Source organism: Homo sapiens, chromosome 20 (assembly GCF_000001405.40).
Source record: "Homo sapiens chromosome 20, GRCh38.p14 Primary Assembly".
In the NCBI taxonomy this organism is placed as follows: domain Eukaryota; kingdom Metazoa; phylum Chordata; class Mammalia; order Primates; family Hominidae; genus Homo; species Homo sapiens.
The window spans coordinates 47,365,996-47,389,495 of record NC_000020.11 but is presented as its reverse complement, the minus strand read 5'-3'; the positions used below and the strand labels follow the sequence as shown (position 1 = coordinate 47,389,495).

Sequence of the window (23,500 nt, the reverse complement as noted above, 5' to 3'; positions counted from 1 at the left end):
GCAGAGGTTGCAGTGAGCTGAGATCATGCCACTGCACTCCAGCTGGGTGACAGAGCGAGACTCCGTCTCAAAAAATAATAATAATAATAATAATTTTTTTTAAATTAAAAAATTAGGCCAGGTGCAGTGGCTCATGCCTGTAATCCCAGCACTTTGGGAGGCCGAGGTGGGTGGATCACCTGGGGTCAGAAGTTCGAGACTAGCCTGGCCAACATGGTGAAACCCTGTCCCTACTAAAAATATAAAAATTAGCCAGACATGGTAGCATGCACCTGTAATCCCAGCTACTTGGGAGGCTGAGGCAGGAGAATTGCTTAAACCCGGGAGGTGGAGGTTGCAGTGAGCTGAGATGTTGGCATTGCACTCCAGCCTGGGTGACAAGCAAGACACTCCATCTCAAAAAAAAAAAAAAAGAAACTCAGGCGTGGTGGGGGACACCTGTGGTCCCAGCTACTTGGGAGGCTGATGCAGGAGGATCCAGGCTGCAGTGAGCTGTGATCACACCACTGCACTTCAGCCTGAGTGACAGAGCAAGACCCTATTTCAAAAAAAAAATTTGGTTTTTATTCTTTTTTTTTTTTTTTTTTTGAGACAGAGTCTTGCTCTGTCGCCCAGGCTGGAGTGCAGTGGCGTGATCTCAGCTCACTGCAAGCTCTGCCTCCCGGGTTCACGTCATTCTCCTGCCTCAGCCTCCCGAGTAGCTGTGACTACAGGCACCCGCCACCATGCCCGGTTAATTTTTTTGTATTTTTAGTAGAGATGGGGTTTCACCGTGTTAACCAGGATGGTCTCGATCTCCTGACCTCGTGATCCGCCCATCTCGGCCTCCCAAAGTGCTGGGACCACAGGCGTGAGCCACTGCACCTGGCCAATTTGGTTTTTATTCTGGTTGTCCTGGATAAAAATGTTGAATTTTAAGTAGAAGACTGGCGTGACTTGATTTACTTTTTCAGATCTGCCTGACTGCTGAGTGGAAAAGTGATTCATGGGCCACGGGTGGAGACAGAGAGACTAAAAGATGGGAGCAGTAGAGATGGGGGTGAGGGTGGGAGCCCTCAATGCTTGCTAATGGCCTGGAAGCCAAGTGAGAGGAAAAAGAGAACAAGGACCACTCCTTACTCTCATCCTTATGAAGCCGTATGGAAGGGGCAGAGGGTGGGACAAGAGCCAGTCAAGAGTTCTGTTCTGGACAATTGATGGCTGAGAACGCCAGCCAGTCTGTAGATTTGGATGTGTGCAGGAGACAGGAGATATGAATAGGGAAGTCATCAGCATGGAGATGCTATTTAAAATCTTGGCACTGAACCAGATTATCTAGAAACAAGGCAAGACCCAGGCCCCAAATCCTGGGACGATACAAGGTGTCAACATGCACTTAAATCTTTTTTTTTTTTTTTTCGAGACGGAGTCTTGCCCTGTCACCCAGGCTAGAGTGCAGTGGTGCGATCTTGGCTCACTACAACCTCCACCTCTCAGGTTCAAGCAATTCTCCTGCCTGGGATTACAGGGGCCTGCCCACCATGCCCCACTAATTTTTGTATTTTCAATAGAGATGGGGTTTCACCATGTTGGCCAGGCTGGTCTCGAACTCCTGACCTCAAGTTATCCGCCCGCCTCAGCCTCCCAAAGTGCTGGGATTACAGGCGTGAGCCACCGTGCCCGGCAAATCTTACTGTCTTATCTAGCTAGACACCTCTGGGGATGTCATTCCACAGAGGGTCCCATTTCTCTGCTCCTTTGTTTAGTAAAATTTCTCGAAGGCATGTTTATCGCTACCATCTCCCCTTTCTCTCCTGTTCCTGTTCTCTCCTCAATGGACTCTATCAGGCTGAAATAAGTATTTCAGGTTTTTCTTTTCTTTTCTTTTCTTTTTTTTTGAGACAGTGTCTGGCTTTTTTTTTTTTTTTTTTTTTTTTTTTTTGAGTCTCGCTCTGTCACCCAGGCTGGAGTGCAGTGGCATGATCTCGGTTCACTGCAAGCTCCGCCTCCCAGGTTCACGCCATTCTCTTGCCTCAGCCTCCCGAGTAGCTGAGACTACAGGCACCTGCCACCACACCCGGCTAATTTTTTGTATTTTTAGTAGAGACGGGGCTTCACTGTGTTAGCCAGGATGGTCTTGATCTCCTGACCTCGTGATTTGCTCACCTCGGCCTCCCAAAGTTCTGGGATTAGGTGTGAGGGTCTGGCTCTTTCTCTTAGGCCAGAATGCAGTGGTGCTATCACGGCTCTCTGCAGCCTCCACCTTCCAGACTCAAGCGATCCTCCCGCCTCAGCCTCCCTAGTAGCTGGGACTACAGGCATGTGTTACCACACTGGGCTAATTTTTTTAATTTTTAGTAGAGATGGAGGGTCTCACTCTGTTTCCTAGGCTGGTCTTGAATTCCTGGGCTCAAGTGACCTTCCTGTCTCGGCATCCCAAAGTGCTGGGATTTCAGGCATGAGCCACCGTGCCTGGCCTATTTAGATTTTTTTTTTTGAGACTGAGTTTCGCTCTTGTTGCCCAGGCTGGAGTGCAATGGTGCGGTCTCGGTTCACTGCAACCTCTGCCTCCCAGGTTCAACCGATTTTCCTGTCTCAGCCTCCTCAGTAGCTCTGGGATTGCAGGCGTGCACCACCACACCTGACTAATTTTTGTATTTTTAGTAGAGACAGGGTTTCACCATGTTGGCCAAGCTGGTCTTGAACTTCTGACCTCAGGAGATCCCCCTGCCTTGGCCTCCCAAAGTGCTGGGATTACAGGCATGAGCCAGCACACCCGGCCCAGATTTTGCCTGGTTTCAGTCAGCCAAGACCACACTTCTGCACTCCAGCCTGGGCGACAGAGCAAGACTGTCTCAAAAAAAAAAAAACACTGCGTTTATTTCAGGCCAGACATGGGGGCTCACACCTGTAATCCTAGCACTTTGGGAGGCCCAGACAGGAGGATTGCTTGAGCTGGGGAGTTCAAGACCAGCCTGGGCAACATAGCAAGACCCTGTCTCTATAAACAAAAAATAAAACAAAATAAGTTGATTTAATAAAAACTGTCGAATTAATAACAGGGTAAGTGGTTCTTGGATATGAAGAGATACATCCCACTCCATCATCAACAGTCTAGTCTAGGCCAGGCGTGGTGGCTCACACTTGTAATCCTAGCACTTTGGGAGACTGAGGTGGGAGGACTGGCTGAGGTCTGGAGTACAAGACCAGCCCAGGCAACATAGCAAGACCCCATCTCTACAAAAAAAATTTTTTTAACAACTCAAGCTGGGCGCAGTGGTTCATGCCTGTAATCTTAGCACTTTGGGAGGCCAAGATAGGAGGATCCCTTGAGCCCAGGAGGTCGACACCAGCCTGGGCAACATAGAGAGACCCCATCTCTCTCTTTTTTGGGGGTGAGGGGGACGGAGTCTTGCTCTGTCACCCAGGCTGGGGTGCAGTGGTATGATCTTGGCTCACTGCGACCTTCGCTTCCTGGGTTCAAGTGATTCTCATGCCTCAGCCTCCCAAGTAGCTGGGATTACAGGCCACCATGCCCAGCTAATTTTTGTATTTTTAGTAGAGAGGGGGTTTCACCATGTTGGCCAGGCTGGTCTCCAACTCCTGACCTCTACCTCCCAAAGTGGTGGGATTACAGCATGAGCCACCACGCCCAGCACCATATTTATTTTTATTTTTTTTCTTTCTTTGAGACAGTTTCATTCTTGTCGCCCAGGCTGGAGTGCAATGGCACAATCTCGGCTTGCTGGAACCTCAGCCTCTCAGGTTCAAGCAATTCTCCTGCCTCAGCCCCCCAAGGAGCTGGGACTACAGGCGCGTGCCACCATGCCCAGCAAATTAGTAGAGATGGGGTTTCACCACGTTGGCCAGGCTGGTCTCAAACTCCTGACCTCAGGTAATACACCCCACTAGGCTTCCCAAAGTGCTGGGATTACAGGCGTGAGTCACTGTGCCTGGCCCTTATTTTTTTAATTTAAAAAAAAAAAAAGGCCGGGCGCAGTGGCTCACGCCTGTAATCCCAGCACTTTGGGGGGCCAAGGCAGGCGGATCACAAGGTCAGGAGATCGAAACCATCCTGGCTAACATGGTGAAACCCCGTCTCTACTAAAAATACAAAAAACTAGCCGGGCGTGGTGGCGGGCACCTGTAATACCAGCTACTCGGGAGGCTGAGGCAGGAGAATGGCGTGAACCCAGGAGGCGGAGCTTGCAGTGAGCCAAGATGGCGCCACTGCACTCCAGCCAGGGCAACAGAGCGGGAGACTCCGTCTCAAAAAAAAAAAAAAAAGAACTCAAACATGTTAGAGAAACACACCCACGCCCCGGGGGCTTTGCTCTTACCATTCTCTCTGCCTGGAACACTTCTTCACCAGATACCTGCTCTTTCTCCTCACTCCGGGTTTTGCTTAAGTGTCATCTCAATGACATCTCTTTATTAAGTGTCATCTATTTTCCATGTGTTCTACCTATTGATGTATTCATTCATTCACTGTTCTAGGGCAGGAGGCATCCGTGAAGGCAAAGATTCTGTCTGTTCTGCTGATTTCGGTGGTCCCAGCACCCAGAATAGTACTGCACGCAAAAGCTTATCTGTTGAATGAATAATGTGTGAACGAATGCACTAGGTTATGAATCGGGCACCGGCATTCAGGGAGCACGCCGGACTCTCATCACAACACTATAGCTTTAGTACTGAAAATTCCTCCGCCGGGCGCGCTGGCTCATACCTGTGATCCCAGCACTTTAGGAGACCAAGGTGGGTGGATCACCTGAGGTCAGGAGTTTGAGACCAGCCTGGCCAAACGTGGCGAAACCCCGTCTCCACTAAAAATACAAAAATTAGCTGGTGCACGCCTGTAATCCCAGCAACTCAGGAGGCTGAGGCAGGAGAATCACTTGAACCCGGGAGGCAGAGGTTACAGTGAGCCGAGATCACGACATTGCACTCCAGCCTTGGCGACAAAAGTGAAACACCGTCTGAAAGAAAAAAAAAAAAAAAGAAAGAAAATTCCTCAGCAGAAGTCTTTGGGAAGGTCAAAGGTGAAACTCCGAATTGTTCTCAGCTGTGCTTTAACCATTCCAGCCCCCTGAGAGCCCCAGGGCTCGGTCCGCCGCCCTTCCTTTACATTCCTGAGCTCTGAAGTCCCCACCTCCTTTCAGCACCCTGAGTTCTTTCCTAGGATGGAATGGACTGAATAATATTTTCCATGTTAGTGATGGGGTCCAAGAATGTCCATGACGCATGAGACCAGAGCTCCCAGCCCGGAGAATGGAACGCTGCTCTCTCTGGAGCCACCAGGGGGCGCCATTTCTCCACGGAGTTTCGCGAAGGCCGCGCCGCAAGAAGCTGCTCTCCCAGCAGGAGGCGAGGCTCTTTGCCTGTTGCAGGGTTGGGTATGTCGGCAGGATTTGGAAGTGCTCAAGCAGGTGGTGGGAGAGCTTGCTTTGATGCTCCCAAAGAAAGTGTTGCCCAGGTTCTCTCCTGCTTGTAATTAGACCTGTGTTCCACCCCAGACTTTGGCTGCAGCTGCGTGACCCTGGACAATTCACTGTGAATGTTGCAGCCGTGGTAACCTCATCCATAAGAACACTGGGACCCCATGGGATTGTGTGTGGACACAGTGAGATGAAAGCTTGCAGGCACCAACCATTGCTCTGAAATGGGAGCCAGTGATGGGATCAGAGGTTGTTAATTATACTAGTAATCAACTGAGCCCTGGTTCTCAAAGCCTGTTCCCTGGATCAGCAGCAGCACCTGCTAAATTCTGATGGCGTTTGATAGAAATGCAAATTCTCAGCCCCACTTCCCCCAAAGTCCTTGATTGAATTTATTAATCTGCCGGGTGTGATGGCTCACGCCTGTAATCCCAGCACTTTGGGAGGCCGAGGCGGATGGATCACCTGAGGTTAGGAGTTCAAGACTAACCTGGCTAATGTGGTGAAACCCCCGTCTCTACTAAAAATACAAAAATTAGCTGGGCGTGGTGGCACCTGTAATACAAAAATTAGCTGGGCGTGGTGGCGGGCCCCTGTAATCTCAGCTACTTAGGAGGCTGAGGCAGGAGAATCGCTTGAACCAGGGAGGCTAAAGTTGCAGTGAGCCGAGATCATGCCATTGCACTCCAGCCTAGGCAATAAGAGTGAAACTCTGTCAAAAAAAAAAAAAAAAAAAAAAAAGAGTTTCTTAATCAAAAGGCCTGAGAATTTCAAGAAATGCAGATTCTCAAATCTTTCAACTGAGAAACTTGGTGGGGGTGAGTCCCTCAATCAGTGTTTAGCAAGCTGCCCACGTGCTTCTGATGCCTGCTCAAGTCTGCTTAGAGCAGTAGGGACTTCTCCTGTAGGGGTTTGGAACACAATACCCCAAATTACAGCACTTTGGCAAACTGAGCATTTGAAGCTGAAGGAATTTGAGGAAACCATAGAAGCAGGAAGGTCACTCTCTGACCTTCTCCTGCCTTCCTCTTCTGCAGTGGGCCACTCAAGGTTTCTCTGACCTGCCTCTCCTGAAAGTAGGCCCCAAGCCCCTCATTCCAGAGGGGGTCCGGTCCTGTCCGTGGAGACCATGAAGACTAAACTCACAGGCCTTGCTAAGTTCCCACTGTGTACATCATTGGATCAAACCCTTTTGTCCTCCTGTGACACTGCTGCTTGACTGTCCATAAAAACACAGGTGCCCTGGGTCACGGTTCTTCACTTTGGAAGACTCCTGAGTCACTCAAAACTTGGGTTAAATAAATTTGTCATGCTTATCTCTTGTTAATCTGTCTTTAGGGGTGTTAGCCATGAACCTTGTGATGGGTGAGGAAAAGGTACTTTTTCTTCCCTACAGCCCTAAATCATAGTTAGTTAGGAGTGGAGCTGAAATTGAAAAAAATTAAAAAATTAGATTTACTGCCTGCAAAGCTACAACCCAGGATATGGTGTGCGTGTATATCCCATTAGTGATGGACATGCCAAAATGCCTCCCCTCCCCCTGCTTTTTTTTTTTTTTTTGAGACGGAGTCTCACTCTGTTGCCCAGGCTGTAGTGCAGTTGTGCCATCTCAGCTCACTGCAACCTCCTCCTCCCGGGTTCAAGCGATTCTGCCTCAACCTCCCAGGTAGCTGGGATTACAGGCGTTTGCCACTGTGCCGGGCCAAAATGCCTCTTTTTGTTCTAGTTTAAACTTGTAGTTTTCTAGAACAGTGGCGCTCAACCGTGGCTACACATTAGAATCAGCTGGGGCTCTTTAAAAACTATATCAACCTGGGTGCGGTGGCTCACACCTATAATCCCAGCATTTTGGGAGGCCGAGGCGGGTGGATCACTTGAGGTTGGGAGTTTGTGACCAGCCTGGCCAACATGGTGAAACCCCGTCTCTACTAAAAATGCAATAAAATTAGCCGGACATGGTGGCAGGTGCTTATAATCCTAGCTACTTGGGAAGCTGAGGGAGGAGAATTGCTTGAACCTTTGAGGCGGAGGTTGCAGTGAGCGCAGATCGCACCATTGCATTCCAGCCTGGGTGACAGAGCGAGACTACAACTCAAAGAAACAAAAAAAAAAAACAACAAAAATCAAATGCTTGGTCGTCTCCCCAGACCAATTAATCCACAATTTCTGGAAGACCCTGTGCTTTTATAAATTTTTTTTTTTTTTTTTTGAGATGGAGTCTTGCTCTGTCGCCCAGGCTGGAGTGCAGTGACATGATCTCAGCTCACTGCAACCTCCGCCTCCCAGGTTCAAGCAATTCTGCCTCAGCCTCCTGAGTAGCTGGGATTACAGGCGCAGGCAACCACACCCGGCTAATTTTTATATTTTTAGTAGAGACGGGATTTCACCATGTTGGCCAGGCTGGTCTTGAACTCCTGACCTCAAGTGATCCACCCGCCTCAGCCTCCCAAAGTGCTGGGATTACAGGCGTGAGCCACCTCACCTGGCTTTTTTTTTTTTTTCTTTTAGAGAGAGGGTCTCATTCTGTTGCCTGGGCTGGAGTGCAGTGGAGTGGCATGATCATAGCTCACTAGTAGCCTTGAACTCCTGGACTCAATTGGTCCTCCCACCTTGGCCTCCCAAAGTGCTGGGATTACAGCATGAGCTACCACTCCTGACCAGAGCAAAGTCTTTTTTTTTTTTTTTGAGACGGAGTCTCGCTCTGTCGCCCAGGCTGGAGTGCAGTGGTGCGATCTCGGCTCACAGCAACCTCTGCCTCTCAGGTTCAAGTGATTCTCCTGCCTCAGCCTCACAAGTAGCTGGGATTACAGGCGCCCACCACCACGCCCGGCTAATTTTTTTTTTTTTCCTCAAGACGGAGTCTTGCTCTGTAGCCCAGGCTGGAGTGCAATGGCTTGATCTCAGCTCACTGCAACTTCCACCTCCCAGCTTCAAAAGATCCTCCTGCCTCAGCCTCCCAATTAGCTGGGATTACAGGTGCCTGCCATCATGCCCGGCTAATTTTTTGTATTTTTAGTAGAGACAGGGTTTCACCATGTTAGCCAGGCAGGTCTCGAACTCCTGACCTCATGATCCGCCCGCCTCAGCCTCCCAAAGTGCTGGGATTACAGGCGTGAGCCACCACGCCCAGCCCCATGGATACGTTTCTATGCCATTTTAATTATTTACTACATGCATGTTTTTCTATTTCCTAGAATTTTTTTCAGGTTAATATGCTGTATGCATTATGTTTTGGTCAGGAAGTGGTAAGGTCTTGGCCCTCAAGCTAACAGGGTGCACAGCTCTTGAAAGGTTGGAAATTCTGCATCTGTTCTCTGCTGAATGATGTCAGCAGAAGCTGTGCGACCTTGAGTTTTTATTTCAGTGGTGGTGTTATAGAAATGCTCAGTTGGCAATCACCCTGATCCTTAGAAGGCACTTCACAGTTTACAAAGCTGAGAGGCTCTTCACTTTTCATGATCTCCTCTATCCTTGACAGCAGTGTCATGGGGTAACTGGGGAAGGCCGGAACTTGTCCAAGGTCACACCTGGAAAATGCCCAAGCTGGGCTTCGACCCACCTTTCCTTCTCTGCTCCTGTTACGTGGCTTGAAGGAGCAATTTTCTTTTTCTTTTATTTATTTTTTGAAATAAAGTCTGGCTCTTTCACCCACGCTGGAGTGCAGTGGTGAGATCTCAGCTGACTGCAAACTCCACCTCCCGGATTCAAGCAATTCTCCCTGCCTCAGCCTCCCGAGTAGCTGGGATTACAGGTGCCTGCAACCACACCCAGCTAATTTTTGTATTTTTTAGTAGAGATGGGGTTTTGCCATGTTGGCCAGGCTGGTCTTGAACTCCTGACCTCAGGTGATCTGCCCACCTCGGCCTCCCAAAGTACTGGGATTACAGGCATGAGCCACCGCACCCGGCTGTCATCTTTGTTGGTTCATTCTCACAGCCAAATGTCCAAGCTGTGGAGAGTGTCAGGGACTGGCCCTTGGACCCGATTCTTTCCCATCACGCACAGTCCTAGGTGATCTCAGCCCATATGCGTCATGGCTTTAAATTCCGTCTAGATGCTGATGCCTCCCACATTTATACTTCCAGCCCAAACTTCCCCTGCACTCCATCATCCGACTGCCTCCGTGACATCTCCACTTGGATGACTAATAGCTCACCCCCACATTCATCCTCCCCCAGCCTGTTCCTCCCACTACTGTCCCCATCTCAGCCCGCACCAACTCCAGCCCCCCAGCAGCTCAGGTCAGAAGATATTGAAGTCTAAGCACTTTGGAAGGCTAAGGTGGGGGCGGATCACTTGAGCCCAGGAGCTTGAGACCAGCCTAGGAAACAGAGCAAGACCCTGTCTCTACAAAAAATTCAAAATATTAGCTGGGCATAGCGGTGTGGGCTTGTGGTCCTAGCTACTCAGGAGACTGAGATGGGAGGATCACGTGAGCTCAGGTAGAGGCTGCAGTGAACCATGATGGCGCCAACTGCACTCCAGCCTGGAAACAAAACAAATCACGGTTGCGGTGGCTCATGTCTGTAATCCCAACACTTTGGGAGGCAGGTGGATCACTTGAGGTCAGGAGTTTGAGACCAGCCTGGTCAACATGGTGAAATCCCATCTCCATTAAAAATACAAAAATTAGCCAGGCGTGGTGGCGTGCACCTGTAATCTCAGCTACTCCGGAGGCTGAGGCAGTGGAATTGCTGGAAACCGGGAGGCGGAGGTTGCAGTGAGCTGTGATCGCGCCACTGCACTCCAGCCTGGGCAACAGAGCGAGACCCTGTCTCAAAAACAAACAAACAAACAAACACAACAACAACAAAGATCTTGAAGTCATCCATGCCTCCTCTTCCTCCCTCCCATACTCCACAAACCCTGACAACTAGATTTCCCAAGTAGGTCCAGAATCCTGACTTGCTGTCCTCCTTCACCCTGCTCTGAGCCACCAGCATCGCAGGCCTGGAACATTCCAACCATCCCCACTAGTCTCCCTACATCTGCCATGGCCCCCTTCAGTCGATTTGCAACCCCATGACCAGAGTGATGTTTGTGGAACTTGTCAGCCTGTGTCTCTTATCTGCAGAAAGTCTCCAGTGATTTCTGGTCTTATTTAGAGTAAAAACTGAACTTCTTAAAATGGCCTGCGACATATTTCTGTTTCCTCAGTACCCTCTAACCTTCCCCACCACGGTGTCCTCCCAGAGAGTAAAACATCTGAGCAGTGATCGCCTTGGCTATTCCTCCAACACCTGGTCCCTGCAGGGCACTCCGAGGCTGAGGGCTTCCTCTTCCCTCTCCCTTAAGGATTCTCAACCTCACTGCTGCGGACATTTGTGGCTGGGCCGTTCTTCTTTTTCTTCTTTTTTTTTTTTTTTTTGAGACAGAGTCTTGCTCTGTTGCCCAGGCTGGAGTCCAGTGGCACAATCTTGGCTCACTGCAACCTCCACCTCCTGGGTTCAAGCAATTCTCCTGCCTCAGCCTCCTGAGTAGCTGAGATTACAGGCACATGCCACCATTCCTGGCTAATTTGTGTATTTTTAGTAGAGACAGGGTTTCACCATGTTGGCCAGGCTGGTCTCGAACTCCTGACCTCGTGATCCACCAGCCTCAGCCTCCCAAAGTGCTGGGATTACAGGCGTGAGCCACCGTGCCCAGCCAGCTGGGCCATTCTTTGTTATGGGGCTGTTCCATGCATTGCAGGATGGTTAGCAGAATCCCTGGCCTCTACCCACTAGGTGCCAGGAGCAACTCCCTAATATTTCCAGACAAATGTCCCCTGGAGGGCAAAATCGCTCTTGCTGGGAACCCCTGTTCAACCTGTACTGCTGTCCCCCAAAATCCCCCACGCCTCCTCCTTGATCTTATTCAGGCTCAGCTGTCAGCTCCTTGGTGAGGCCTCTGTCTACACTGATGACCACCGTTGCCCACCCCAACCCCCCACCATCTCCCTTGCTGCTATATTTTTTTCCATAGCACTCATCACCATTTAACACACTACCTATTTTATTGTTCCTATTTATTGTTTATTATTTACTTATTGTTGTTTTTTATTATCTGTTTATTGTTTATTACCTGTTTCTTCTTACTAGAATGTAAACTTCAAAAAGCCAAGGCTTGGCAGGGCGCGGTGGCTCACTCTGTCTGTAATCCCAGCACTTTGGGAGGCCGAGGCGGGTGGATTGCCTGAGGTCAGGAGTTTGAGATCAGCCTGGGCAACATGGTGAAATCCCGTCTCCACTAAAATACAAAAAATTAGCCAGGTGTGGTGGCACATGCCTGTAGTCCCAGCTACTCAGGAGGCTGAGGCATGAGAATTGCACCACTGCACTCCAGCTTGGGTGACAAAGTGAGACTTTGTCTCAAAAAAAAAAAAAAAAAAAAAAGAAGGCAGGGCCTGGCATAGTAGGCACTCAAATGAATAGTTCCTGAAGGAAGGAGTAAATGCCAGCCCTTGTAACAGATGCATGAACATATGAACATGAGACCTCAGCCTCAAGAGACCTGCAGTCCATCCTGGGTGCAGGGAGTCAGCAGGCAAATAAATGTGTGCAGTGGCAGGTGGCTATCAGAGCTTTAAATAAAGAAAAATAAAGCAAGTGTGTCCGTTTGCTAGGACTGCCAAAACAAAGCAGCACAACTGGGTGGCTTAAAACTACAGAAATATATTGTCTCACAGTTCTGGAGGCTACAAGTCTCAAATCGAGGTGTGGGCAGGGACATGCTTCCTCTGAAACCTGTAGGGGACAGTCCTCCTTACCTCTTCCTATTAGCTTCAGGTGGTTGCTGGCAATTTCTGGCATGTCTTGGCTTGTAGATGCATTGCTCCAATCCTCTGTCTTCACATCATCTTCCGTCTGTGTCTGTCTCTGTGTCCGGATTTCTTTTCTTTTTTTTTCTTTCCTTCCTTCCTTCCTTTCTTTTTTATTTGTTTGTTTGTTTGTTTGTTTATTTTAGATAGGGTCTTGCTCTTTTACCTAGGCTGGAGTGCAGTGGTGCAATCTCGGCTCAGTGCAACCTCCGTCTCCTGGGTTCAAGCGATTCTCCTACTTCAGCCTCCCAAGTAGCTGGGATTACAGGCACGTGCCACCACAACCTGGCTAATTTTTGTATTTTTAGTAGAGATGGAGTTTTGCCATATTGGTCAGGCTGGTCTCAAACTCTCAGCCTCAGGTGATCTGCCCGCCTTGGTCTCCCAAAGTGCTGGGATTACAGGCATGAGCCACCAATGCCCGGCCACGGGTCCAGATTTCTTCTTTTTTGTTTTGAGACAAGGTCTCACTCTGTCACCAAGGCTGGACTGCAACCTCAACTTGGCTCAAGTGGTCCACCTGCCTCAGCCTCCCAGGTAACTGGGACTAGAGGCACACACCACCAACCCCTGATAATTTAAAAAAATTTTTTCAAACAGGCAGGGTCCTGCTATGTTGCCCAGGCTAGTCTTGAACTTCTGGGCTTGAGAGATCCTCCTACCTCAGCCTCTCAAAGTGCTGGGATTACAGGCATGAGCCACTGTGCCTAGCCTAGATTTCTTCTTCTTCTTTTTTTTTTTTTTTGGCAGCAGGGTCTTACTCTGTCACCCAGGCTGGAATGCAATGACACCATCACAGCTCATTGCAGCCTCGACTCCTGTGCTTAAGTGATCCTCCTGCTTCAGCTCCTGAGAGCTGTGCGCCACCACACCCAGCTAATTTTTGTATTTTTTGTAGAGACAGGGTTTCACCATGTTGGCCAGGCTGATCTCAGACTCCAGGGCTCAAGTGATCCGCCCGCCTCAGTCTCCCAAGTGCTGCGATTACAGGCGTAAGCCACCACACCCAGCCTCAGATTTCTTCTTTTTATAGGAACTTCAGTCATATTGGATTAGGGCCCACCCTAATGGCCCCATTTTAACTTGATTACCTCTGTAAAGATCCTATTTCTTTTTTTTTTTTTTTTTTGAGGTGAAGTCTCACTCTGTTGCCCAGGCTGGAGTGCAGTGGTGTGATCTCGGCTCACTATAACTTCTGCCTCCCAGGTACAAGTGATTCTTGTGCCTCAGCCTCCCAAATAGCTGGGATTACAGGCGTGTACCACCACACCTGGCTAATTTTTGTATTTTTAGTAGAGATGGGGTTTTGCCATGTTGGCCAGAGGTCATCCTCAGGTGATCCACCTGCTTTGGCCTCCCAAAGTGGTGGGATTACAGGTGTGAACCACCGTACCTGGCCTCAGATTTCTTCATTTTATAAGGACATCAGTCATATTGGATTAGGGCCCACCTTAATGACCCCATTTTAACTTGATTACTTCTGTAAAGATCCTATTTCAGGCCAGACGTGGTGGCTCACGCCTGTAATCCCAGCACTTTGGGAGGCTGAGGTGGGTGGATCACGAGGTCAGGAGATCAAGACCATCCTGGCTAACACGGTGAAACCCCATCTCTATTAAAAATACAAAAAATTAGCTGGGCGTGGTGGCACATGCTTGTAGTCCCAGCTACTTGGGAGGCTGAGGCAGGAGAATCGCTTGAACCAGGGAGGTGGAGGTTGCAGTGAGCCGAGATTGTATCACTGCACTCCAGCCTGGGCAACAGAGCGAGACTCTGTCTCAAAAAAAAAAAAAAAATCCCATTTCTACATCAAGTCACATCCTTGGGTACTGGGGGTTAAGACTTTAACATATCTTTTTAGAAGGGACACAGTGAAATCCTTAACCACAGGATATGGGATTAGGGAGTGATGCTTGGCACTCCTTTAGGGAGGGGGTTAGGAAAGTCCTCTCTGAGTTGGTGATATTTGAGCAGAGACCTGCATGGAGAGAAAAGTCCTGCAAACACCTGGGAAGAGTGTTCCGGGCAAAGGGAACAGCAAGTGCAAAGTGGCAAAATCAATGTACCTACTATGTCACAGTGCTGTAAGGATTCAATTAGCAAACACTTAATGTAAGTCATTATTATTATTGTTCTTCTTCTTCTTCTTCTTCTTTTTCTTTTTTTTTTTTTGAGACAGAGTCTCGCTCTGTCGCCAGGCTGGAGTGCAGTGGAGTGATCTTGGTTCACTGCAGCCTCCTTCTCCCGGGTTCAAGCAATTCTCCTGCCTCAGCCTCCCGAGTAGCTGGGACTACAGGCGTGCGCCACCACACCTGGCTAATTTTTGTATTTTTAGTAGAGACAGGGTTTCACCATGTTGGCCAGGATGGTCTTGATCTCCTGATCTCGTGATCCACCCACCTCGGCCTCCCAAAGTGCTGGGATTACAGGCGTGAGCCACCGCGCCCAGCCTTCTTCTTCTTCTTTATCCTTTTTGTTAAAGGCTCTGACTCAGTGGCTACACATGGGCCTGGTTGCCTTCTTGAGGCTGGGAATCCACAGTGAAGAAGCCAGACAAGGCCCTGTCGTCATGCTGCTGACAGTCGGATGACATCTGTCATCTTGGTTGCAGAGACCAAGAGACCAACAAGTCAAAAATAAAGCAACAGGCCAGGTGTGGTGGCTTGTGCCTGTAATCCCAGCACTCTGAGAGGCTGAGGCGGGCAGATCACTAGAGGCCAGGAGTTCGAGACCAGCCTGGGCTATCGTGGGGAAACCCTGTCTCTACTAAAAATACAAAAATTAGCCAGGTGCAGTGCCACAGGTCTGTAATCCCAGCTATTCAGGAGGCTCAGGCAGGAGAACCTCTTGAATCCAGGGAGGTGGAGGTTGCAGCGAGCTGACATCGTGCCACTGCACACCAGTGTGGGTGACAAAGTGATATTCCGTCTCAAAAAAATAAGACTGGGCACGGTGGCTCATGCCTGTAGTCCCAGCACTTTGGGAGTCCGAGGCCGGTGGAACACCTGAAGTCAGGAGTTCAAGACCAGACTGGCCAACATGGCAAAACCCCGTCTCTACAAAAAATACAAAAATTAGCCAGACATGGTGGCACGTGCCTGTAGTCCCAGCTACTCAGAGGCTGAGGCAGGAGAATTAGTTGAACCTGGGAGATGGAGGTTGCAGGGAGCCGAGATTGCACCACTGCACTCCAGCCTGGGTGATAGAGTGAAACTCAGTCTCAAAATAAATAAATTTAAAATAATAATAATAATAATAGGCCAGGTGTGGTGGCTTAAGCCTGTAATCCTAGCACTTTGGGAAGCCGAGGCGGGTGGATCACCTGAGGCTGGGAGTTTGAGACCAGCCTGACCAACACGGAGAAACCCTGTCTCTATTAAAAATACAAAATTAGCCAGGTGTGGTGGTGCATGCCTGTAATCCCAGCTACTCGGGTGGCTGAGGCAGGAGAATCGCTTGAACCCAGGAGGCAGAGGTTGCAGTGAGCTGAGATTGTGCCATCGCACTGCAGCCTGGGAAACAAGAGTGAAACTCTGCCTCAAATAATAATAATAATAATAATAATAATAATAATAATAATAATAATAAAAAAGCAACAGCGTGTGATAGTTGATAGGAGTCCTCATAGGACAATACAACAGGTGACCTCATAGAGGGTGACTGCTGGGCAGGGCTGGGTGGGAATCTCCTCTAGATAATGCAATCAAGGAAGGCCTCTCTGAGGAGGTGACATTGCAGCTGAAGTATCTCTCCAGGTGTTAGGGAAAGTTTATGGAGAAAAGTCCACTGATCAGGTCGAGATCCATGACTAGGCTGGCACTGACCATGGGGGAGATGCACCAAAGGTGAGAACCTGATGAGCCTATTAATGCCTGCAAGTCACTTCCCATTTATAAAGAGTAAAGGCCCTGATCAAAATGGTCTCAAAGTCCAAACTTCCCTCACCATCCCCATGGCCACCCTGTCCCTATAACTGAATAAAGAAAACATAAGTAAGAAATGGAAAGTAACTCCTCAGTCAAATCCCAATGTTCATTTCTGACCTTGGGTAAAGACAGAAGCAATTAAAAACAGATACTGGTGGATGCCCCTGCTTTACCTGTTGGACAACTCTCAAAGAGAGCTAACCAAGTGGCTCCATGTTCTCAGAGGGTTGTTTGGGTTAGAGTCAACACATCTCTTCAAAGGCCCTAGAAAATCCTTTTCTTCTGGGAATTCCTTTACCTCCTAATTGTTTCAGGGCAATTTGCCAGTAAAGGGGAGCTTATGTTAGGTGTTTAAGGAATGCTGAATGCAACTGTGTTGAGTCAGGTTCTATAAAGTCTCTTCTGCCTGGCTAGAAAAGAACGTGGCTGTTTTGACATTTCCATGATCATGCTGCTTTCCTTTTGAAGCTACATTTGTTATTTTGCTTCATTTGGGGAGAAAAGCCAGAAATCTGCCTTAAGCTTCATCCTCTCCTTCTCCCCACCACGTAGCCATGTAGTTGGGGCTACGGAGACAGCACAGAAAGACAGACCTGGGCTCAAGACCCAGAACATGGGGCAGGGCAGAGGGGTGCAGGGGAGAGACAGAGAGAGAGAGAGAGAGAGAGAGAGAGAGAGAGAGAGAGAGATTGAGAGAAGGGGCCTGACCACAAGTGTGTGCTCTATTATCAGGTCGTCGTGGAGACTCTGGTGGATTTGTATTCGCTCTGCAATTATTTCTTTCTTTTTTTGAGGCAGAGTTTCACTCTGTCACCCAGGTTAGGGTGCAGTGGTGTGATCTCGGCTCACTGCAACCTCCACCTCCCGGGTTCAAGCGATTCTTCTGCCTCAGCCTCCTGAGTAGCTGGGATTACAGGCACCCACCACCACACTTAACTAACTTTTGTGTTTTTAGTGGCGATGAGGTTTTGCCATGAAGGCCAGGCTGGTCTCGAACTCCTGACCTCAAGTGATCCGCCCCTCTCGGCCTCCCAAAGTGCTGGGATTACAGGCGTGAGGCATCACGCTCAGCTGCTCTGCAGTTATTTCCGGAGCAGCTGCTAAGGGCTGGAGCACTGTGCTGGGATCCAGGAGTCCATCGGTGAAGCCACAGTTAACCTGCTCTCATGTGGCTTATAGTTTCCTGCATATTCACATCTGACAGACTCCAGCAGAGCTTTAGCAGCAGAATCCTAAAGAGCAGGACTTTTCTTCTTGGCCCTTCCACCAATTAGCAGGCCCCCAGTTTTCTCCTCTGTGAAAAGGGTTCAACCATCCATGCCATGTATCTCACAAGGACTTGTGAGAGGCCCCTAGGTGACCGTAGAGTAAAGGATGGCTGTATGAAGTTGCTTTTTATGGAGAATGTATTCTGTGCTAAGAACTGGGTAGGTCATTTATTTTTCCTTTTTTTCTCAGATGCGGTTTTGCTCTGTCACCCAGGCTGGAGTGCAGTGCCATGATCATAGCTTACTGCAGCCTTGAACTCCTGGGCTCAAGTAATCCTCTTGCCTCTGCCTCCTGAGTAGGTGGGACTACAGGTGTGCACCACCAAGCCCAGTTAATTTTTAAAATTTTTTGTAGAGAAGAGATCGTGCTGTGTTGCTCAGGCTGGTCTCAAACTCCTAGCCTCAAGGATCCTCCCAAGTCAGCCTCCCAAAGCACTGGGATTACAGGCTTCAGCCACTGTGCCTGCATTTTTTTTTTTTTTTTTGGTGGTGGCGGGGAGGTCCTTACCCCACCCTATTCGGCTGGCGTTGGTTTCTCCCTTACCCAGAGGTCACAGGGGGCCAGTTTATCTTCCAAGGAGGCTCAAGACTCTGAGCAGCAGAAAGGTAACTGTGAAAGGACATTGCTGGGGAGAGTTTGATGGGACCAGAGAGGTAGAGGTGCCAGACTGATACAGGATGTACTTATACTAAAAAAAAGATTCCTTGTTTATCTGAAATTCAAACTGAACTGGGCATCCTGTATTTGTATTTGCTAGACCTGGCCACCCTACAGAGGTTCTGACATCAGGCTGGTGGAGGCCTGGGCTGTAGCTGGGACCAGAGGCATTGGAGTGAGTCACTGTTCCCGAGGCTGGTGAGCCGAAGGGTTGCGGGCAGGCAATTCAGGTAAGACAGCAGTGAGCAGGGGCACGGGTGGGATGGATTCCTAGAATCTGGGCGATTTCTGCAGCTGGAAGCCTCCCGCCCCCAGGGTAATCCACCACTTCTGCCTTCAGCTTCGGGCCTTTGGCCTTCAGCTCCCCATGGAATTCGTCCCTCTCCTCTCTCTTTGTTTGAGCTGCTTGCTGTGAATACCAAGTAGTCAGCTCTTAGGCTAACCCAGCCCCTGCACTGCAGCTCTCTGGGCCACGCTCCCAGTTTTGCTTTACATTGGAATCACTGCGGCTTCCTTTTGTAACCCAGTTACCCTCAGTGGGCTTCAGTTTTCCTGCATCCTCATTAAAAGCCGATTTTTCTTTTTTTTTTTTTTTTGAGACAGAGTCTCGCTCTGTCACCCAGGCTGGAGTGCAGTGGCGCAATCTTGGCTCACTGCAAGCTCCGCCTCCCGGGTTCATGCCATTCTCCTGCCTCAGCCTCCCGAGTAGCTGGGACTATAGGTGCCCGCCACCACGCCCGGCTAATTTTTTTTGTATTTTTAATAGAGACGAGGTTTCACCGTGTTAGCCAAGACGGTCTCGATCTCCTGACCTCGTGATCCGCCTGCCTCGGCCTCCCACAGTGCTGGGATTACAGGTGTGAGCCACCACGCCTGGCCAAAAGCCGATTTTTCTAATTATTTAACTTGAAAAGTGGGGATTTGGGCTCCTCTGCAGCTGATTCATTCAGCTACTCTCTTGTCCAATATTCACCAAATTATTTTTGAGCACCTACTATGTGCCAGAGTGATACAGAATTGAACAAAACAGACAGTAGGTAAGAACTCGATCATAGGAATTTATACCTGCCCGGCACGGTGGCTCACATCTGTAATCCCAGTACTTTGAGAGTTCAAGGCAGGCGGATTGCTTGAGCCCAGGACTTCAAGACCAGCCTGGGCAAGTGGCGAAACCCCGTCTCTACAAAAAATACAAAAATTAGTTGGGTATGGTGTTTCGTGCCAGTAGTCCCAGCTACTCAGGAGGCTGAGGTGGGAGAATCGCTTGAACCTGGGATGGAGGTTGCAGTGAGCCAAGATCGGGCCACTGAACTCCAGCTTGGGTGACAGAGCAAGACTCTGTCTCAAAAAAAATAAAATAAAATTTGTACCTGGTGATTAAACATGTATAAAGTATTAAATTATGATTGTCATGGGCACTATGAGGACACCATATAACTGGAGGATCTGATTTTTTTTTTTTGAGACAGAGTTTTGCTCTTGTCGCCCAGGCTGGAGTGCAGTGGCATGATCTCGCTCACTGCAACCTCCGCCTCCCAGGTTTAAGCAATTCTCCTGTCTCAGCCTCCAGAGTAGCTGGGATTACAAGCGCCCGCCACCACACCCGGCTAATTTTTGTATTTTTTAGTAGAGACGGGGTTTCACCATGTTGGCCAGGCTGGTCCTGAACTCCTGACCTCAGGTGATCACACACCTCGGCCTCCTAAAGTGCTGGGATTACTGGCGTGAGCCACCATGCCCAGCCTAGGATCTGATTTTTTTTGGGAAATGAGTCTGGGAAGGCTGTCCTGAAGAAATGAATTTTGTGTTGGGTTTTGAAGGATGAGTAGGAGTTACCTGACAGCAATAACAATAGCAATAGCTAACTGGGTGCCAGATGCTGTGCTAAGTGAGCACTTTTTACTACATGAATTAATTTAATCCTGACAACACTCTAGGAGGTGCTATTATCCCCACTTTAGAGGCCCAGAGAGGTTAAGTTACTTACATGCGGTGGCACAGTGAGTGAAAGGCAGAGCCAAGATTTGAATCCAGGCAAACTCACTCAGTCTTTGAAGCTGGCTGGAGCTCAGACCCTGAGCAAAAGCTGGAGAAGGGAATCCTACAGGCCCCCTAGGGCTCGTTGAAGAATTTCAGACTGTGGCCTGAGAACAATGGGAAACCTGTGAAGGGTTTTAGAGGTGGGGGTTGGGGGATGGGGATGTGATCTGGCCCAAATTGAAATTTCAAAAGATCCTTCCAGCAGCTGAGGGTGGAGGATGGGAGCAGAGTCGGGGTGAGGAGGCTGTTCCCTTCCAGCCCAGATAGCAGATAATGGTGGCTCTGGAGCCAAGCACCTGTGCAGAATGGAGCTACGCCGCCGCAGTCGGCAGTGGAAGGCGCTCAGAAGGTGAAGCCACAGGGCTTGGGATGGGAGATGGGGAAGCGGTGGTCAAGGGTGATGTCCAGATCTGGGACTTGAGGGACCAGGTGGATGGAAAACACAGGGAGGTTTGGGGGGCCTCAGAACACGAGATGAATTGTGATTGAATTGCCCTCTCTGGAATTTCTGTTTGTGTTTGGTCTATTTTTTGCTGCTGTTGTTGGTAAATTGGTTCCTGATCACCTGTAAGTGTTGGTTTCTCCATAGTTTTAGCTTCTTGAAATTTTAGAGGCCAAGTAGGCTGAGGTTTCATTTTTCTTATGAATGTTTTCCTTTTTTCAGATGTGTAAATTACTTGATCTCTCTGCACCTCAGGTTTCTCACCTGTAAAATGGGGGTTATCCTTGTACCTGCCTCATAGGGTTGTTGGAGGGGTTAAATTAATTAATACGTAAAGTGTGTTTGGAACAGTGCCTGGCACATGGCACCTCAATAAGTGCAAGCCACTCTTCCAAGGTAAAGATGAGGAGGAGGAGATGTCGTCATGACAACGAGGAGGGCGATGGAGGCAGTGGTGGCAGCAGGAGGAGGCTAAAGCCCATAGAAGTCACTCCAGGAACTTAGCAAGGCCACATTAAGCCTATTGTGCCCAGTATTGAGCAAATTGTTTTAAAGCATTTGTACTGAGCCCCAGGAATTGACGTTCACTCAAATCAACAGACTCCCCTGTGTGGGACCTACTCTAGGCTCTGGAGATGAACCGTCGAATCAAGTGCTTGTAAAGGACAAGATTGCTGCCCTGAAAAGCAAATACAACACATAATTTTTTTGTTTTTATTTTTTGAGACGGAGTCTCGCTCTGTCACCCAGGCTGGAGTGCAGTGGTGCCATCTCGGCTCACTGCAACCTCCGCCTCCCGGATTCAAGGGTTTCTCCTGCCTTCCTGCCTCAGCCTCCCGAGTAGCTGGGGTTACAGGCACCTGCCACCACGTCCAGCTAATTTTTTGCATTTTTAGTAGAGATGGGGTTTCACTGTGTTGGCCAGGCTGGTCTCGAACTCCTGACCTCAGGTGATCCACCTGCCTCAGCCTCCCAAAATGCTGTGATTACAGGTGTGAGCCACTGTGCCCAGCCAAAATACATTATTTTATTTTATCTTATTGTATTTTATTTCTTCTTTTTTTTTTTTTTGAGACGGAGTCTCCCTCTGTCACGCAGGCTGGAGTGAAGTGGCATGATCTTGGCTCACTGCAACCTCTGCCTCCCGGGTTCAAGTGATTTTCCTGCCTTCCTGCCTCAGCCTCTAGAGTAGCTGGGACTACAGGCGCGTGCCACCACACCTGGCTAATTTTTGTATTTTTAGTAATGATGGGGTTTTCACCATGTTGGCCAGGCTGGTCTCGAACTCCTGACCTCAAGTGATCCGTCCCCCTTGGCCTCTCAAGGTGCTGGGATTATAGGCGTGAGCCACCACGCCTGGCTTTTCTTTTCCTTTCTTTCTGAGACAGAATCTCGCTCTTTCACCCAATCTGGAGTGAAGTGGTGCAATCTTGGCTCACTGCAACCTCCATCCCCTACCAGGTTCAAGCGATTCTCCTGCCTCAGCCTCCCAAGTAGCTGGGATTACAAGCGTCCACCACCACGCCCGGCTAATTTTTGTTTGTTTGTTTGTTTCGAGACAGAGTCTCGCTCTGTCGCCCAGGCTGGAGTGCAGCACATGATCTCAGCTCACTGCAACCTTTGCCTCCTGGATTCAAGCGATTCTCCTGCCTCAGCCTCCCAAGTAGCTGGGATTACAGGCGTCCACCACCACGCCTGGCTAATTTTTGTATTTTCAGTAAAGACAGGGTTTCGCCATGTTGGCCAGGCTGGTCTCGAACTCCTGACTTCAGGTGATCCACCTGTGGGAGGTATTTTCATATCTATTAATTCATTTTCTCTATTTACTGTATAACCCGATGAGATAGAGAGTAGTATTCCTATTTTACATGTGGAGGATCAGGTGTAGAGAGTTACAGAAATTATTTGGGGTTCTGGAGCTACACAGTGCAGAGTCAGTCTGTCTTAAGCTTGAGTGTACATGTCTAGCTACCCTTTTATAGGGCTCTCTTTTGGGGTGGGTTCAGGGATGGTGTGGATTAGATGTAGAGGAGAGTGGGGATGGGAAGGTAAAGAACATTGTGGAATATTTTGAGTCTTAGTAATGGAAAGATGGTGGAGGGAATGGTGACCTTGTCTCTGAGCTTATCTCCATGCTTAGGTCCTCTGGATCTTTTTTTTGTTTTGTTTTGAGACGGAGTCTCTGTTGCCCAGGCAGGAGTGCAATGGCGGGATCTCGGCTCACTGCAACCTCTGCCTCCTGGGCTCAAGCAATTCTCCTGCCTCAGCCTCCTGAGTAGCTGAGATTACAAGTGCCCACCACCACGCCCAGCTAATTTTTGATTTTTTTTTTTTTTTGAGAAGGAGACTCGCACTGTTGCCTGGGCTGGACTGCAATGGCGTGACCTCGGCTCACTGCAACCTCCTCCTCCCAGGTTCAAGTGAGTCTCCTGCCTCAGCCTCCAGAGTAGTTGGGATTACAGGCATGCGCCAGCATGCCTGGCTAATTTTGTGTATTTTTTAATAAAGACGAGGAGTCACCATATTGGCCAGGCTGGTCTCGAACTCCTGACCTCGTGATCCACCCACCTCGGCCTCCCAAAGTGCTGAGATTACAGGTGTGAGCCACCGCACCTGGCCAATTTTTGTATTTTTAGTAGGGACGGGGTTTCAACATGTTCACCAGGCTGTTCTCTAACTCCTGACCTCACGTGATCTGCCTGCCTCAGCCTCGCCTCCTAAAGTGCTGGGATTACAGATGTGAGCCACCATGCCTGGCCTGGTCCTCTGCATCTTATTATTATTATTATTATTATTTTATTTTATTATTTATTTATTTTGAGACAGAATCTCGCTCTGTCGCCCAGGCTGGAGTGCATTGGCGCGATCTTGGCTCACTGCAACCCCTGCCTCCCGGGTTCAAGAGATTCTCCTGCCTCAGCCTCCCGAGTAGCTGGGACTACAGGCGTGTGCT

General features: G+C 49.1%; 1 long non-coding RNA gene across 3 annotated transcripts in view, besides 5 other annotated features; it reads left to right on the top strand.

The window, feature by feature from the left end:
* The window catches only part of LINC01754 (long intergenic non-protein coding RNA 1754), a 29,379-nt gene extending 22,649 nt beyond the window's left edge, over positions 1-6,730 (top strand). For all 3 annotated transcript variants that reach the window (NR_146496.1, NR_146495.1, NR_146494.1), the window contains one exon: positions 4,477-6,730. This is a non-coding gene — a long non-coding RNA (long intergenic non-protein coding RNA 1754). The remainder of the gene's footprint in view (positions 1-4,476) is intronic.
* Positions 5,249-6,101: an enhancer, noted in NCBI's record as "H3K27ac hESC enhancer chr20:46012139-46012991 (GRCh37/hg19 assembly coordinates)". NCBI's record gives its function as "activates a minimal SCP1, AML or CMV promoter by ChIP-STARR-seq in naive H9 embryonic stem cells {active_cell/tissue: H9 hESC(naive)}" and the evidence as "EXISTENCE:reporter gene assay evidence [ECO:0000049][PMID:30033119]".
* Positions 10,405-10,905: an enhancer, noted in NCBI's record as "H3K27ac hESC enhancer chr20:46007335-46007835 (GRCh37/hg19 assembly coordinates)". NCBI's record gives its function as "activates a minimal SCP1, AML or CMV promoter by ChIP-STARR-seq in primed H9 embryonic stem cells {active_cell/tissue: H9 hESC(primed)}" and the evidence as "EXISTENCE:reporter gene assay evidence [ECO:0000049][PMID:30033119]".
* Positions 12,546-13,045: an enhancer, noted in NCBI's record as "H3K27ac hESC enhancer chr20:46005195-46005694 (GRCh37/hg19 assembly coordinates)". NCBI's record gives its function as "activates a minimal SCP1, AML or CMV promoter by ChIP-STARR-seq in primed H9 embryonic stem cells {active_cell/tissue: H9 hESC(primed)}" and the evidence as "EXISTENCE:reporter gene assay evidence [ECO:0000049][PMID:30033119]".
* Positions 13,046-13,547: an enhancer, noted in NCBI's record as "H3K27ac hESC enhancer chr20:46004693-46005194 (GRCh37/hg19 assembly coordinates)". NCBI's record gives its function as "activates a minimal SCP1, AML or CMV promoter by ChIP-STARR-seq in primed H9 embryonic stem cells {active_cell/tissue: H9 hESC(primed)}" and the evidence as "EXISTENCE:reporter gene assay evidence [ECO:0000049][PMID:30033119]".
* Positions 16,150-16,768: an enhancer, noted in NCBI's record as "H3K27ac-H3K4me1 hESC enhancer chr20:46001472-46002090 (GRCh37/hg19 assembly coordinates)". NCBI's record gives its function as "activates a minimal SCP1, AML or CMV promoter by ChIP-STARR-seq in naive H9 embryonic stem cells {active_cell/tissue: H9 hESC(naive)}" and the evidence as "EXISTENCE:reporter gene assay evidence [ECO:0000049][PMID:30033119]".